General features: G+C 40.0%; 1 long non-coding RNA gene across 1 annotated transcript in view, besides 2 other annotated features; it reads right to left on the bottom strand.

The window, feature by feature from the left end:
- C1QTNF7-AS1 (C1QTNF7 antisense RNA 1) overlaps positions 1 to 16858 on the bottom strand; it is a 422973-nt gene that overhangs the window by 236831 nt on the left and 169284 nt on the right. The gene's annotated exons all lie outside the window — the stretch shown is intronic.
- Positions 11643 to 11832: an enhancer, noted in NCBI's record as "active region_21337". NCBI's record gives its function as "activates an Ori minimal core promoter by ATAC-STARR-seq in GM12878 lymphoblastoid cells {active_cell/tissue: GM12878}" and the evidence as "EXISTENCE:reporter gene assay evidence [ECO:0000049][PMID:35858748]".
- Positions 13706 to 14254: an enhancer, noted in NCBI's record as "OCT4-NANOG hESC enhancer chr4:15257102-15257650 (GRCh37/hg19 assembly coordinates)". NCBI's record gives its function as "activates a minimal SCP1, AML or CMV promoter by ChIP-STARR-seq in naive H9 embryonic stem cells {active_cell/tissue: H9 hESC(naive)}" and the evidence as "EXISTENCE:reporter gene assay evidence [ECO:0000049][PMID:30033119]".

A 16858-nucleotide genomic window follows, 5' to 3' on the forward strand; every position in this document is an offset into this window, starting at 1 on the left:
GAAAGAATCTGCTTTAGAGTTTGCTGTTTTTTAAATTAGATGAGCTCATTTTGGGAGTCCATCTCTCAAATCAAATAGAATTACACAGATAAAATTTGGAATGATACACACCAAAATTATAAAATTTACAAGATTCTTTTCGGGGGAGTAAGATTATAATTGGCTTGTATTTTCTTCCTTTTATTTATATTTTTTCTTGCTTTTAAAAATTCATATTAATGACTATAAATAAATGAATGTTGCATAATCTTTTTTTAAGAAAGAAATTATGCCACAAGTAGTAGAGCTCTAAAGCCAGAAACACCTGCTGCATCAAGAACATTTCTTTCATGCCAATGTGTGGTAGCCCTGACACAGCACAGATGCGCCCTGGTTTCCTTCTTGCTGGAAGGAATCTCATTACCACCAGGAGTAGTTGACTCCCAAGAACACATATTATATGTTATGCACTTCACTGAAAGGGTAGCAAGAAGGGGTGAGGTCATGGGAGAAAAAAAACTGCCCTCAAAATCTTTGGGGTGTTTTGGAGTCATAGGAGCTATGAACTAGCATGAGTGTACAGTTGCCTCATCCACTTAAGTCCCAGAATGTTTGAGAATACATTTCTGTTCCTTAAACTAGAAGAGAGATTTCCTTTCCAACTTCTTTATCTGAGATTAAACCATGACTAAAGCTTGCACACCAACATCCCATTCTAAGTTTAGGGTCTGAATTCTTCTGTCTAAATTTTCCTCAGGTATCTCCAGGTGGTCCCCCAATCTGTGAGACCAAATAGGACCAATTGTTCATTGTAAGAACATTTCTAGCTCTAGAAAGGGGTGTGGCCCTCTAGGGACTTCTCAGTAATGAAAAAGAAAGGTTGAAAGAAAAGAATCCCTCTTATGGGCAGATGTATTGGGCACATGACTTTGGCTACACAACAATTTCTAGACACCTTCCTCACCCATTCTTCTCCCTAGCTCTAGAGATGAGCAGCTGGTCAGGCCGCCAATCCCAGATGCTTCAGCTTTCTGGCCACAGTGACAGACTTAGGGATAGACATTGGAACCAGATCAGGCCAATCTACGGTTTCTCAGGTCTTTTGCTGAAATTATCTAAAAAGAGATCCACTGTTTTCTCTGACAGCATGGTCTGGGAAGATGTGACAGGCCCAGAGCTGCCCTGAACTATCTTGTACCTCATGAAGAGAGACTACTCAGAGTGAAGCAACATTAAAGAAAAGAGACACAGGCCTCACGACATCACTTGAGCATATGAGTCCATCATTTCAGTCCAGCCACCCACCAAGCCAGGTGCCCATGAACGTGCCAGTTGTCAGACACAATAAGTTCACTTTTTTTTTTTTCTTTTTTGAGACGGAGTCTTGCTCTGTCGCCCAAGCCGGACTGCGGACTGCAGTGGCGCAATCTCGGCTCACTGCAAGCTCCGCTTCCCGGGTTCACGCCATTCTCCTGCCTCAGCCTCCCGAGTAGCTGGGACTACAGGCGCCCGCCACCGCGCCCGGCTAATTTTTTGCATTTTTAGTAGAGACGGGGTTTCACCTTGTTAGCCAGGATGGTCTCGATCTCCTGACCTCATGATCCACCCGCCTCGGCCTCCCAAAGTGCTGGGATTACAGGCGTGAGCCACCGCGCCCGGCCATAAGTTCACTTTTTTTTGATGAACGTCATGTGAGTTGACTTAGAAAGGTGAAATAAAAAGCTTGCAAATAAATACTCCTGAATAACAGAATCAGTCTTATTCTAGGAATGGATTCCACATGAACATAAAGGATAAAAAAACTTCTTAAGACTCAAAATAACACATTTTTCCCGTGATCAAAATTCTGGGGCTACACATTTGCTCCCTGGTTTGACATATCTCTGCTCCCACACATCACCGGGTTTCTGGCTTTAACAGCAGGGGCCATAATTCAGGCACCCATTAGGCACCAGGCATTGTGGCAGGCACTGTGTTTACATTCTCTGTAACTTCACCACAACCTCCAAGTCTGGGATTCCTATCCTTAAGTTGTTAATGCGGAAACTAAAGTAAAGCAGGATTAAGAAATAAGCCCGAAACATCCCAGCTAGTAACTGTCAAGGCTGGCATGTGAATGTAGGTGTGCTGATCTGTTTTGTGTTGCTATAAAGAAATACCTGGGCTGGCCACGGTGGCTCTTGCCTGTAGTCCCAGCACTTTGGGAGGCCGAGGTGGGTGGATCACTTAAGGTCAGGAGTTTGAGACCCGCCCGGACAACATGGTGAAACCCCATCTCTACTAAAAATACAAAAATTAGCCAGGCGTGGTGGCGGGCACCTGTAATCCTAGCTACGTGGGAGGCTGAGGCAGGAGAATCACTTGAACCTGGGAGGCGGAGGTTGGAGTGAGCCGAGATCACGCCACTATATTCCACAGCCTGGGTGACAGAGCAAGACTGTCTCAAAAAAAAAAAGATAATAAAATAAAAATAAGTAAATAAATACCTGATACTGGGTAATTTATTTTAAAAAGAGGTTTATTAGCCTCACGTTTCTGCAGGCTGTACAAGAAGCATGGCTCCAGAACTTGGTTGGTTTCCAGTGAGAGCCTCCAGAACTTGCTTGGTTTCCAGTGACAGCCTCAGGAAGCTTTTACTTATAGCAGAAGGCAAGGGGAGCAGGTGTGTCACATGGCAAGAGAGGAAGCAAGAGAGAAGGGAGGGGGTGCCAGGCTTGTTTTTAACAATCAGTGAACTAATAGAGTAAGAACTCCCTCATTACTGTGAGAAAGTCACTAAGCTATTCATGAGTGTCTGCCCCATGACTCAAACACCTCCCGCAAAGGGCGCACCTCCAACACTGGGGATCAAATTTCAACATGAGATTTGGAAGGGACAAACATCCAAACTATATCAGCACATGTGGCCAGTCATGAGTTTTTGTTTTGGCATGTTGCCTCTCATCTGCCAGAATCCCTAGAATCTCATCTGCCAGAATCCCCAGGTAATCATCCTGTCCAAAAGCCTATTGGGTCCTTGCCACATTTCAGTCAATGTGTCTGGTCAAGGGATAAGGTCAAGGTTGGCAGGGAGTCATGTGCTGCCGATCCCTAGTCTGGTTCTTTGTTTAAAACTCCCACCAGCTCCTTTGGTTTCCCTTACCTCAACCACCACCATGTACCCAAATCTATGTGCCAAATAGGTTTTAAAGCCCCCTGATCATAAACCTTAAAAAGTAAGCCTTTCTATGCACATGTTGAACTGCTTCATGTTGAACTGCCCTCCCCACTTCATTTATCCCATCTGATTGCAGTCTGCTTCCCCCTCCTTGCTACTAGCCTGACCGGGTCATTCATCAGTTCTTGTGCTTCTTTCTCTTTAGAGATGTGGTGCTTCTTCTACTCTTCCAGGTTCAACTCTGACTCCCCTCCAACTGTCCTGGGTGAAACCCCCTCCCTTGCTGACTCATCCCCAAGGCCCTCCCACTCCAGGCCACCCTCACAGATGCTTATCTGCCTGGGCTGGTTCTTAAAATCCATAATCAACGGCCAGATAATTTAATCCTACAAAGTGATTGGCAAATGTGACAGTCCAGGTCCTCCCAGGGACAGGTAACAAGACAGGGTTAAACATGTAAGGACTGTATTGGAGAAATGCCTGTGTAAGAGAGAAAATGATGGGAGCTGGGAAGGTTAGGAGGTCATCAGAACATGATAAGAATCTGACTCAAGCGAAGGAGAGAGGGAGAGGAGGTTGGGGGTAGGGGAAACATCACAGACTGCCTGTCATGCAGTCAAAAGAGGGTTCAGCAAAGCCATCGCGGAGTCCTTGAGAAAAAGCTGCTCACCCAGAGGGATCCCTTAGTCTACTTAGTGTCTGCACCAGGCTCTTCCTTGCCAGGAGCTACCCATGGGAGACACAGCCTTGGTACAAACACCACAGTGGATTTCAAAGCCCAGCAGCTGACTCTGCTGTCTGTGGTGGGGGGTCTGGAGGCAATGCTCATGGCCACCATGGTAGGCCACTTCATGCCAGATGGAAAGGTTGTCATGGGGGAGTCTATTCATTTATTCAGCAAATCATGTATGGAGCATCTCTATGCCAGGTGCTGTGCTAAGATTAAAAATCAAGGCCAGTTTTCTATGCCAGGCTACAAAATAGATTTTTCTGGGGTAGCTGCTCACTGATACTCTCATCAACCTCCTGAAAAAAATGTGCATTACTCCAAGGCCACTAGGATTTGCCCTCTCTTTCTTTAACCTCTGTGAAAGACAATCCTGCTTAGGAGTACAGAACATGGGCTATTTGATAGAGTGATACAGCAAGGTGGCTTGCATTGGGATGCAGTGGTTTCAGAGCAATTCCATGTCACTCAGAGGATCCCTGGGAAGTGACTCAGGAACATCCTTTGGAATCAAGAGGAAGCCAGTTGGGTTGGACTCCAGATCTACCAACATCACATTAACCAGAATAATTGTCCATTTAATATTTCATATCCTACAATTACAAATAGAAACTATTTTTTTAAAAGAGCATAACACTTTTAGAATTTTAAAGTCCAATTTGCAATGGAGTCAGATGACTCCTTTCTATTTTCCTAGAACTTAGCACAGTGCCTTACATACATTGGCAGTTAGTAATGTTAATACATAAACAAATTAGTGAATGAATGAAGTTAACCCAGTGAATCTGTTCCCAGAATGGCTCTTTTAGACAGTTACTATGTTTCCATTTTGCTGATCACAACTTGATATTCTCAGAGTTTCTATTAACTGGTCATGACAAGAGATTACCCAGAGTGGATACTGAGCTTCAGATCCAGGACATCTGAGTCCAAACTTAGAGCCCTTTGTACTGCACTCCTCTGTAGAGACTGTGTGTTCTAGAGCCTTCTTCAAAATCCCCCACTATATCCATGCAGTGTCTAACTGCAGGCAATATAAGGTTCTAGCATTTCTATCTTTTCATCATTTCTCCCCATTGGCCATTAGCAACAGCTACTCTCCATTCCCAGATACCAGCAAGCTTAAAAATAATCTCCCCTCTGCCTATTTCCACATTCTTCAGAAGGTTTTTAAATGCTTAGAGGATATGTGCTCTCAGGTATAGGCCTGGAGCAAGGAAACTTCAACTCCCCCTTTGGTTCTCTTTTTATGAAGTTTTCTCTGTACTTAGGAACATGCACCATGCCATAACAGAATTAAAACCTTAGATCTCTGTTTATAAAGATACAAGAGATAACCTAGTGAACAAGATGTGTTTTTTGTTTTTTGTTTTGGTGTGGCTCTTGCAGAAAATAAATTCCTTTCTTGGCGCTTGCTGAAAGTTTGGACTGTGTGTTTGATGTGAAATTTATATGGAAGCAAAACCTTGGACAATTAAGCCAGCTTGGAATGTTGAAAATGACAATAATAAAAGCTATTCTCTCTGGGGTCTGGTTGCTGTGCTAGGCCTCCATAAACATTATCTCATTTAATCTTCCAACTGCCCTAATGAGAGCTACAATTAATATCCTTGCTTTACAAATGAGAGAACCCAGTTACAGCTTAGATGAGTAATTTGGCAAAGGAAATACAGCTAGTATTAAAGTAATGAATGAAGCATGTAATGTAGCTGACATGTAAATCTTAGTGTAGCACATTTGAAAACAAGTGCTATGTAAATACATAAATTATTTATTTATATGTCATAGAATTAGTATTAAGAGCAGGAATATTGATGTTAATGTATTTTTTTAATTTTTTGATTAATCAGATATAGGCTGTTAATAGCAATAAGGGTATTAGTCAATATGTCACATTCATTGGGTTACAAAATAGTTTTTAAAAGCCAACCTTGGAAATCTCATTAGAGTCCCCTGGTTTCCCAGTTTCTGAAAGTTTTCTATATTAGAGTGATCCAAATGCTGACATGATTAATGATTACATTTTCATAAGCCTCAGTTCCCACATTTGTTGTAGTTCTTCTACCAAATCCACAAGATTCTTTGACAGCTTTGCAAACATTCTTAAAAAATGTTTGTCCATAAACAGTAATAACAAAAACTCCACTCTCAAGATGCACTGATGGCAGAATGTCTAGTCTATAGAGCACAGTTCCTCATCAGCGCTCTGGTCCAGATTCCTCAAGGCAGTTGTTACTAACAATTGCTTCAGTTACTCTTAAAAGAACACACTGTATTCTTCCGAGTGTGCTAATATACATTTACACCAGAGTGGTGTTTCATTTAGATTTAGTTATAAAAATTGATTTATGTATTTGTGTCTTCTTGTATGCCCATGAAGAGGAACAAATCAAAACATCCCATTAAAGATTCCTCCACTCCAGGGTACAAGCAAGACTCCTATGGAAGACAACGCCCATTAATAATGAATTCATGTTTAAAAAATTTACAAAGCACGCAAAGATAGCAACTGTTAAAAGAAAGAGCCATTAAATTCAGTAAATAGGATAATTTATATCGAAACTACTCATGGTCATAGGGTAATCTGAAAAGAACATTAGTATAAGTAAAGCATGTTGGAAATATCCAAATGGATAAAGAAGAGAATAAGATAAAAACATTACTTTTTTTAATTAAAAAAAGCAAGTAGATTTGACAATGAACCAAACAAATCTAGAACTGAAGAATTATGGTATGTGAATTAAAAACCCATTAGACGATAGACTAGACAATTAAAAAGAAAATTTCAAAACTGTGGAATAAATATGGGAAAGTTATATCCAGTAGCACAAAAAGATATAAGGAGATGGAAAATAGAAATGTGAAGTTAAGAGATACAAAGGCGAGAAGGACAGGATGAACAGATATCTAACGGGAGTAACGGATGTTGAGAAGTGAGACATTAAGGAGAGCAACAGTGAGAGAAATATTGGGATATTTCCCAAAATTCAAAAAAAAGAATCTTCATATTTAAACAGAAAAGCATACTCCTAAGTAGGATGAATGTAAATAACTTGCAACTAATCATGTAATATTGAAATTACATAGTTGAGGATAAAAGGAAAATCCTGGAATCACGAGACAGGAAAGTTGAATGACCTTCAAGCATCATATGGAGAAACTGGCATCTCCTCAGAAACGACAGATAATAGAAAAGATCCAACCTTTTCCAAAGTGCTGAAGAGTAAGAAAAACTCCACCAATCTAGCTTTTATTCAGGAGTAGGAGTGGCATTGAGATACTCTCAGATCGAGACACTTGCTGAAAAACTTACAAAAGGATGCAACTCAGTGCATCAGTTAGCAGTACTTTTGCTACAATTTTGGAAAATCTAACCAACAGTAAATTACACAGGTAGGCTATTTTTCTTCTCTAACAAGAAGTCTATAAGTTGACTGAGCTGTTGATTCACTTATTCATCATTCACCCAACAAGTATTTATTGAGCACCCACTGTCTGTCTCCTGTGTACCTATCATGTATAGCTTATATTCTATCCTGATCATGCTTTTTACAATTGCAACTAACCCCTACCTTTACACTCCCATGCCCTTTACCTTGTTTTACCTTTTTTTTTTTTTACTGCATCTATTTTTTTCTGTATAATTATGTTGTTTATCATGTCTGTTGCTTAATGTCTGTCTCCATCTGCTAAGTTACAACCTTGGGGACAAGAATCTTGGTGCATAAATGAACTGCTAGGTAAATAAAAAAGAAACAAAAATGTTAAATCTGATATGATATTAGAACTAGACTTTCTGAGATTTTCTTGGTCTTATCCTTATGGCTGTCACCTCATGGTGACAAGATGGTGGTTTCAGGCCTATACATCAAAAGAAACAAAAATGTTAAATCTGATATGATATTAGAACTAGACTTTCTGAGATTTTCTTGGTCTTATCCTTATGGCTGTCACCTCATGGTGACAAGATGGTGGTTTCAGGCCTATACATCAGAACTTCATTCAAGGTAGAAAAAAAGGGAAGGGGACAGGGTAGATTCAGCAAATTTCAACTCATTTATCATTGACCAGAATTGTGTCAAATTATTTTTCTAGCTACTAGGAAGGCTGAGAAATCAATTATTTCACTCTGACAGTTTCTATCATGGAGGCAAGAAAATGGGATTGTATTTGGATTTGGAGCTTGGGTGAGTCGACATTTAATAAACCATATTCAATAAGCCATATTCAATAAGAAGAAGTTGGAAGATAAGAGGAAGAAGAGGACCATAAGAAACAAAAAATAACAGTAGAACTATCATATCTCTAAAAGAAAATAAAGTAAGAACTTTTTTGTTTTATATAATATCTGAAAGGTTATTGTTTATCCCTGTAACTCATTATCTGAAGAAAGGGATGATGAACAGGAGGAGGGAGTGCAGAGGAAGAACAAGACAGAAAAGCAGAATGCTGTCGATGATATCATGGCCTGGCCTGCCTCACACAACAGCTGGAAAAGTGGTTTCTTCTCAAACCTCTTTCCTCCCCCCAAAACTTGAATTTGTTCCCAATAGGCCCCTAATTAGCAATAGGCAAAGGAATCCCTCCTCCTAGTTCTAGATAAAACTGTTTTCCTTGTGTGTCAGGGGCATAGCCGTCTTGGGACAAAAAAGGAAATAACTGGCAGTTGGAATGGAAGACAGAAAGCCATCTGGCCAGATGTCTAGAGTTTACACTGTTCCCTTCAGGGGTGCTGAGAGACTGTGGAATGTGGTTTGGCATCACTCATGAGTGAAGAGGCTGCAGCCGTCATTTGGGTTTTACATTTAATGGCTCTTAGGAAATATATTTAAAAGTATATACACCTACTGACCACTCATACCTATGGGTACCCAGGAACTGGGCTGTATCAGTGCTTCTTCTATTTGTCAACATGGCATGGAGATGTTACTTTTTTTTTTTTTTTTTTTTTTTTTTGAGATGGAGTCTTACTATGTCGCCAGGCTGGAGTGCAGTGGCGCAATCTCGGCTCACTGAAACTGCAAATGCCTCCCGGGTTCAAGCTATTCTCCTGCCTCAGCCACTCGAGTAGCTGGCATTACAGGCACACGCCACCACACCCAGCTACTTTTTTTTTTTTTTTTTTTTTTTTTTTTGTATTTTTAGTAGAGACAGGGTTTCACCATGTTGGCCGGGATGGCCTCGATCTCCTGACCTTGCGATCCACCCGCCTTGACCTCCCAAAGTGATGGGATTACAGGTGTGAGCCACAGCGCCCTGCTGAGATGTTACTTTCTTAATAGGGCTTATTAAAAGTCTGCTTTTAAAAGAAAGAAGTTTGAAATGTGTCTTGCCAGGAGGAGAAGGTTGCTTGATGTTTGGTGACTCAATTTGGACACAGACTTAAACCCTTTCTCTGTGTCTGCCATGACACGCTCTCCCTGTCTGACGGCTCTGACAGTCTAATTCTAGCCTATACCAGGATGAATGGAAAAGGGGCTTGGAAGGGAGAAAAGGTCTGCACCCTATTTAAGATGGCTTAGTTTGAAAGCAAGTCACTACAAAACTTAGATGAAAATGCACTGACAATAGAAAGAATCCCACATCAAAGCCAAACAGTGATAGAGTATTAGTCCATTTTCACACTGCTGTAAAGAAATACAGAGTTCCCACTGTAGGATGACTTCTGTCATTTAGATAAAGGGAATCTAGTGCCCTAGACCACAAAGCATCTCCCTATTTAATGACTTAGTGAGGAAAAATAAGGCCAATTAGGAAATTACCTAGAACTAAGTCTTCAAAAGAAAAGACACTAAAACTGCCACTCCTGACAGATTGGCATGGCTCTGATGGCTTAGTGGATGGCTTACCCAGAGACTGGGAAATCTATTAACAAAAGAAGTTTAATGGACTCACAGTTCCTCATGGCTGGGGAAGCCTTAGGAAACTTACAATCATGGCAGAAGGTGAAGGGGAAGAAAGCCTGAACCTTCTCACATGGCGGCAAGAAAGAGAGGAAGGAGCAAAGTGGAAAGAGCACCTTATAAAATCATCAGGTCTCCTGAGAACTCACTCACTATCATGAGAATAACATGGAGGATATCGCCCCCGTGATCCAATCCCCTCCCACCAGGTCTCTCCCTAGACACGTGGGGATTATGGAGATTACAATTCAAAATGAGATTTGGGTGTAGATACAGCCAAACCATATCAGAGAGCATGGAGACAGAGATGGGCTCTGGTTGCTGCTGGGCAGAGCCATGCCAATCTGACAGTAGTGGCAGTTTTGGTGTCTTTTCCTTTGAAAACTTGGTTCTAGGTAATTTCCTAATTGGCCCTATTTTTCCTCACTAAGTCATTAAGTAGGGAGATGCTTTGTGGTCTAGGGCACTAGATTCTCTTTATCTAAACGACAGAAGTCATCCTACGGTGGGAACTCTGGGTTGCCTGTTATTCCATCCAGAATCCCCTCTTTCTGAAAGTTGTTTTTGGCAGCCGGGGTCTATCTCTGCCCTCCTGAGCATTCTATTAAGTTTGCTGCTGTTTTTCTATTAAACCTAAAGAATAGTCATTCTGTCTCCACACAGTCCCCTTCAAAGAAGAAAAAGATGAGATATTACAGCAGCAGATATTACAGATATTACATGCAATGGTAAAAGGGGCAAGCCCTTGAAACAAGTGAGATCTAATTTTAAAATCTCATTTCTGAATGTTTCTTCATTGGCAAAATAAGGATAAGACTCATAGTGCAGTGTTATTATGAAGACTAAAGATACTGTATGTAATATTCTCAGCACAGTGCCCTGTATACAACAGAGGCTTAAAAAATTGCTCCTACATATTCTTATGCTTATTTTACTGGGCTATACTGTTTCTCAATAGATTTTCTCTCTCTCTCTCTCTCTCACACACACACACACACCCACATACACATACATGTGTGCACACACACACACACTACTGCTGAATTTCCAGGTCATATTTGGCAGACTAGTTAAGGAAGCACTGTGTACATGTTAGCTACCTTGGACCTTGAGTTGCTGCCAGGTTTTATGCTACAGAAAATGTAGTGTGGCTGGAAATGTAGCTCTACTGAAAACTGACCAACCCTGTGTAATATATCCATTTGTTTCGTCATAAAGGAAAGAGTAATGGACTAAAAGTCTGAGTTCACAGCCTTGCTTCTGCCAACACTGTGTATTATCTTCATATCTAGAACATACATTGCAGTGGGTATCAACCAAGGACTTCACATATAGCACCTCATATAAAGATCCATAAAGGGGAATAGTGTCTTGTCCTCTTTCCCAAAGAGGGAAGACAGATTTCACTAATGGCTGGTGTTGAGAGGAAGAATTTAGTAGTAGCTTCTTGCCCTCAGCAATAGCTTCTTGCAATAGCTCTTATAAGTGGACACAGATCTCCCTGATCCTCAATTGGGTAAGTTTACAAGGAAACCCTTTGCCACTTCCTGGGAGGCAAGTTGTTCTTAGGCTTTACCTGGGACTAGCAAAGAAATTGAATTCAGTGAGACTATTTTAGGGGCCCAGGTGGTTAAAGTTTCACACCATGTTTCTTCAATTCAGCCTTAAGAATAATAAAGCTGAAGTTTTGATCTCCATCTGTGTGATGCTTTTAGCTATCTTTCAAGGGGTTCCAGACATATTTGGGATGACAAGTGCATGATTTAATGGCCCCCTTAAGCCAGAACAACTAATATTTCCATTCCCATTTTAATATATGAAGAATCTGAAGGTCAGCGAAGTTGAGTAACTTGCCCAGGGCTACAGAGATATGGGTCACAAAGGTGGAATTGAACCCAAGCTCTTTTAGCTTCCAAGACTGTGGCCTATCCTCTATGCTAGACCGCCACCTTAAAAAGCAAATGTCCCTTCCTTGAGTTATTTGAATTACAATTTTTCTTTTCACAGCGCAGTTTGGGAAACTCCCCTCTACTGCTTTCAGTTTTCATATCAGCAAAATCAAGAGGTTGAACTAAAAGACCAAGAAAGCTCTCCCAGATGAAAAAGCTTGTGATTCTATGATTTATTTATTTTTTAGTTCGTATTAATTCTCCTTCCATGTTTTCAGTGCTGTGAGTTCCTGAGTTTTAAACTCCAGAAAGCAGATAAAATCATTTCCTAAAATGAAGTGTTACACATTTCATTCAAAGGAAGTGTATAATCTTGTAAAATGTATAGATTAATAAATTAAAAATTAATAAAAACAGCTGATTTTGTTACAGTGGCCATTGAGAATGTACAGGCAAATACTTCTGACTACAGCAACTATCTCCACAGAGGCGGAGTCATCTCAGCGCAAATCAGGAGCATCCTGGAACCCAACTAGAAAATCACTGGAGTATCAGGAATAACATAAGCTTTGGAGTCACAAGGCCTGAATTTGAGTCTCAGCCACCCTATCTATGAGCTGTGTGCACTGAGAAAGCCATTTAACATACTGCGCCTCAGATAATCATGTGTAAGTATTAGTATTCTTACTGTCTTCATGGTAGCTATGATGTAAACTGTTTTGGAAAGCATCAAACACTATACAAAGTCATTAGTATTAATAAAGGTGGCATTCTTCTCTCATTCATAAGACCATAGCTTCCTATGAAATCTAGGTGAAAATTACTGGGGAGTGCCACATTAGAGATGGTATCTTAGTAATTCAGAGAAACTTTGTGGAGGTTCAATGATTCAGATCCAATAGGGTTAAAGGCAAGTGGTGTTGGAAAGGCTGATTGCGAGGCTGAGATGAGAGTCTCCCTCAGGCATTGAGCTGTCAGCAGGACAGGAATAGATATTCCAAGCCCATAGCACCTCAACAGCTCTCTAAAACGCTAACATCATGCATGCAGTTGAGTAACACATGTGTTTTCAATGTCATGCAACTTTGTGCTGTAATTTAAAAATTTTGTGTGACAAAGAGCTGGATTTAAAAATGGAATATTAAAATATTAGTCACTTCTCTTTCTTCTACTGCTGTTAGCAGATTGGACATAGTTTTTCTTATAAACTTTTTTTTTTTTTTTTTTGGAAACAGTCTCACTCTGTCACCCAGGCTGGAGTGCAATGGCGCAATCTCAGCACACTGCAACTTCCGCCTCCCACGTTCAAGTCATTCTCTTGCCTCAGCCTCCCAAGTAGCTGAGACTACAGGCATGCACCATCATGCCCGGCTAATTTTTGTACTTTTAGTAGAGACCAGGTTTCATTCAGCATGTTGTCCAGGCTGGTCTCGAACTCCTGACCTCAAGTGATCCGCCTGCCTCGGCCTCCCAAAGTGCTGGGATTACAGGCATGAGCCACTGTGCCTGGCCTCTCATAAACTTTTGATACCTTTTAGAAAATGTATCTCCTTTGTGACATTTAACCTTTCCAAAAAGAATTGATCAATTTCTTCTCTTTATTTTCATTGCAATTTGTATTCTTGTATTTACAGTTGATTCTCATTTACAGTAATTATTTTCTATACAGTCACTGTGAATGCTGAATTAGCATAGCTTTTGCCGGAAAGAAAGGGTTATGTTCCTGCAAATCTCTGGCTATGTTTTTGTCAACTGACTGTTAACATAATCTTGTTTTACGTGTGTTTCTGTTTAAAAAATCTAATACTTGTTGATTCATTAACACTGTACTCATGGCCAACAGCACTGTAACTTATGCTTGACTGAAGCTTCTCTAACACACATATTTTCTCCGTAAGATGCATCACAGCCTTTTGGTACTAAGAAACACCGGCACACTTTAGCTCTGTGCTTGAGGGCCATATCACAAAAAGTACAAAAATTCAAAAAAATAAATAAATAAACCCCACCCATGTATCACTAAGCAGAACTGAAAAAGGACACATTATAAGAGCTGCAACAAAAAGACAGAGCAGGAATTTTTTCTACCTTTGCTGGAAACAAGCACGTTGTGTGACTCAAATTTTGTTACTCCTCTGTGCACATTCATGAATGACCGTAACAGTGCCATGAGTATTGATTTTTCTAATTACAAATAAATTTTAGCAGGTAGATGAAATCAGAAATACAGAATCCACAATATTGAGGATCAACCGTATCTCTCTACTCTAGAGCTTACCAAACGGCATTGTACTATTGATTTACGTGACTATGCTCCATTCTAAGCCAAATTCCTTGAGAGCAGTGATAGGTCCTTTCATCTTGTTTTAAATTTTTTTAACTTAGGACATCTCTTTGTCTCTTGCAGACTGATTCTATCCCTCATGCCTACAGTGATCTGATTCTTGGGCTTAGGGACAACAACAAACTCCAAGGCATATTTTTAAGGTGAAATCTCAATAGAAAATTCTACCCTAGCCAAATTTAGCTGGAAGTCACTGCTGCCACAGCATGTTTTTACTTATTTCTGGCTAACACTTCCTTATCCCCTTTTGAAGATCTTCCAGTTGCTGTGCTCTCAAAACCTCAATCCACTATCAACTCTATTCTCTTGAGATGCTTCCAGCATTTCTGAGATCAAGGTCATCCAATGTATAGTCTTCCCATTTTTCTACTTTCACTTCAAAATGTCTCATCATTTTTCTCTATCTTCCCCTCTTCATCTATTCCTTAAAAACATCATTTTTCCACTCTTTACATTGTCCCACATTTCTCATGTCCTTGCATCCATCCCTCGTTCTTCTAGCTTTGTCTGTCTACTTCTGTCCTCATTCCTTCTCCTTGACCTGCAATTCCCTCAAATCTCTCCTTTAAGATGTCTTTCCTTTCCTTCCTTTACCCACAGCAACTTTTGAAAAGTAGTTTGCATTCTCTCCCATCACTCTACTCCTCAGCTCTTGGCTTCTACCTCCAACCTTCACTGAAACTGGTATCTTCATAGTCACCAAACCCACTGGCCTTTTCTCAGGCCATAGCTACTTAGACTTATAACATTTGGTCCTATTGACAATTCTCTCTCTTGAAACTCTCCCCTTTGACTTCCACACAGAACTGCAAGTTTTTCTCTTTTATCTCTAATTGTTCTTTGCCTCCTTTGGCTGTTTCCCCAAGTTACAATACCCGGTCTCATCTTATTTTGCCCCATTTTGCAATAGACATTTTGGTGCAATTGAAAGCATGGGCTTTTGAGTGACCAGACCTGGGCTTGACTCTTAACTCCCCACAGTTCTAGCCACAGTGACATTGGGAATTTGTTTCTGTGAATCTCAATAATACCTACTATATAAGGATGCTATAAATAATGAAATATATGTGAATAAGGTAGCATAGTGCATGCACAAATTAAGTGGCCAATAAAAGACAGTTCTTCCACTGACCTCTCTTCCACTTTAAGGGCATTATTGTCTCTCAGGAATCTTATTAGCTCCTGCTGCCTAGATCTGCCTGACAGGCTAAATTATCTTGGAAGGAGACTGTCCTCATGAAATAGAGATTCTTGCAGCCAGGTCAAGCTGCGAGGCATGTCACTCAGAAGTCATTCATAGACTCTCTGTGTCAAAAATGGAGGAGGAAAGCTATAGTTCAATGTAGTTCTGACAATGAAGGTTATGAGAAACCAAATTTACATGACAAAATGAAGGAAATTGACAAGAACATAAACAGAAAATAGAGCCAGTGGTTTGCCTTAGAAGAATTTGAGAGGTAGCAGAATGAGATGTGAAGTAGCTAGAACCAGACAGTTGAGGACCTAAACCTAAAAATGCTAGCTCATTCCATAAGAAATTGTTTTTATTCAGCCCCTGTCCCTCTTGGCCAGAGTGGTGACTAATTTGGGGGAGAAAATGAGTATATTCAATGATCTTGCAATGAGGCAGACTCAGCGTGGACTCCTGCATCATCCACTTAAAGTTTTGGGACTCAGGCAAGTTCTTCAGAAAGACAGCATAACAGAGGTTAAGAGCATGGACTCAAGGTTCAGTCTAGGTGGGATAAAATCTCAGCTCAGCCACTTAACAGTGGGATGCTGGACACAGTTTCTTCGCCCATAACTCAAAGACAATTAGCAGTACCTACCTCACAGAGATTTTATGAAGATTAAATAGCTTAATATTTGTAAAGGGATTAATAGGGTATCTGCCATGCCATAAGTACTGTAAAGTGGTTTGTGATATAAATACACTTAATCTTTTATGTCTCAATTTTTACATGTGTTTAGTAAGAAAAATGCAACTTCAAGTAATTGATTTGAGGATTAAATGAGATAAGGTGCATGTACAACTCTTAAAATACCTAGCATAAAAGAAAAAACATCAATGATTTCTGTTATAAATTAAGTGACCCAAACTAGGTAAAATGCATAAAACATCAAATATGATTATTTTGAAGAAACTTTTTATATATGTAGTTTTGACCCCCAACTCACTCTTAAATACTAGATGCATGTTCCTATATGCTTACTAAAAATGTGCACACAGTCTTCATAGAGACAACACAAGCTCAACAAATTCAAAGCTGAATGCATCCACTCTCTCCCTAAATCTTTCTTTTTCTTCTTTTATTTTATAGTACGGACACCTTCTCTCTAGGAATCCTCAGTACCCACAATTGTAGAGGTTCTGGATACTCAGCTTCAAGGCAAATATCAAAGCATTTTCCTCAACAAAAGAGCTCTCTTGCTAAAAAATGACTTGTTGCTTCTTGCTAAGAGAATGAAAATTCCCCTTTACCATAGCTAATATTTTTAAGGACTCACTCTGAGCACTTTACATCTATTACTTCATTTGATCCCAACAAGAACCCTATGAAATAGGTACTACAATTATTTCCATTTTATGGATGGAAAAGCTGAGGCATGGAAAATATAAGTGCATTGCCCAAATCTTACAGCAAGAAAATAGTAGAGCTGCAATTTGAATCCAGATAGTTTAACTTCAAAGAATGAGTTATTAATTGGTCTATTATACTGCCCCAACCTTGATAAATGTAAGTAATTTTTGATAGTTATTTGCTTAAAAGTCTTTAATGACTCTGTTAAACCTCCTTGGACGGTGATTTAGGACCCTTCCTGATCTACTTCCAAGTTTTCTTTTTTAATTTATCTTCC

This window comes from Homo sapiens, chromosome 4 (assembly GCF_000001405.40).
Source record: "Homo sapiens chromosome 4, GRCh38.p14 Primary Assembly".
Classification (NCBI taxonomy): domain Eukaryota; kingdom Metazoa; phylum Chordata; class Mammalia; order Primates; family Hominidae; genus Homo; species Homo sapiens.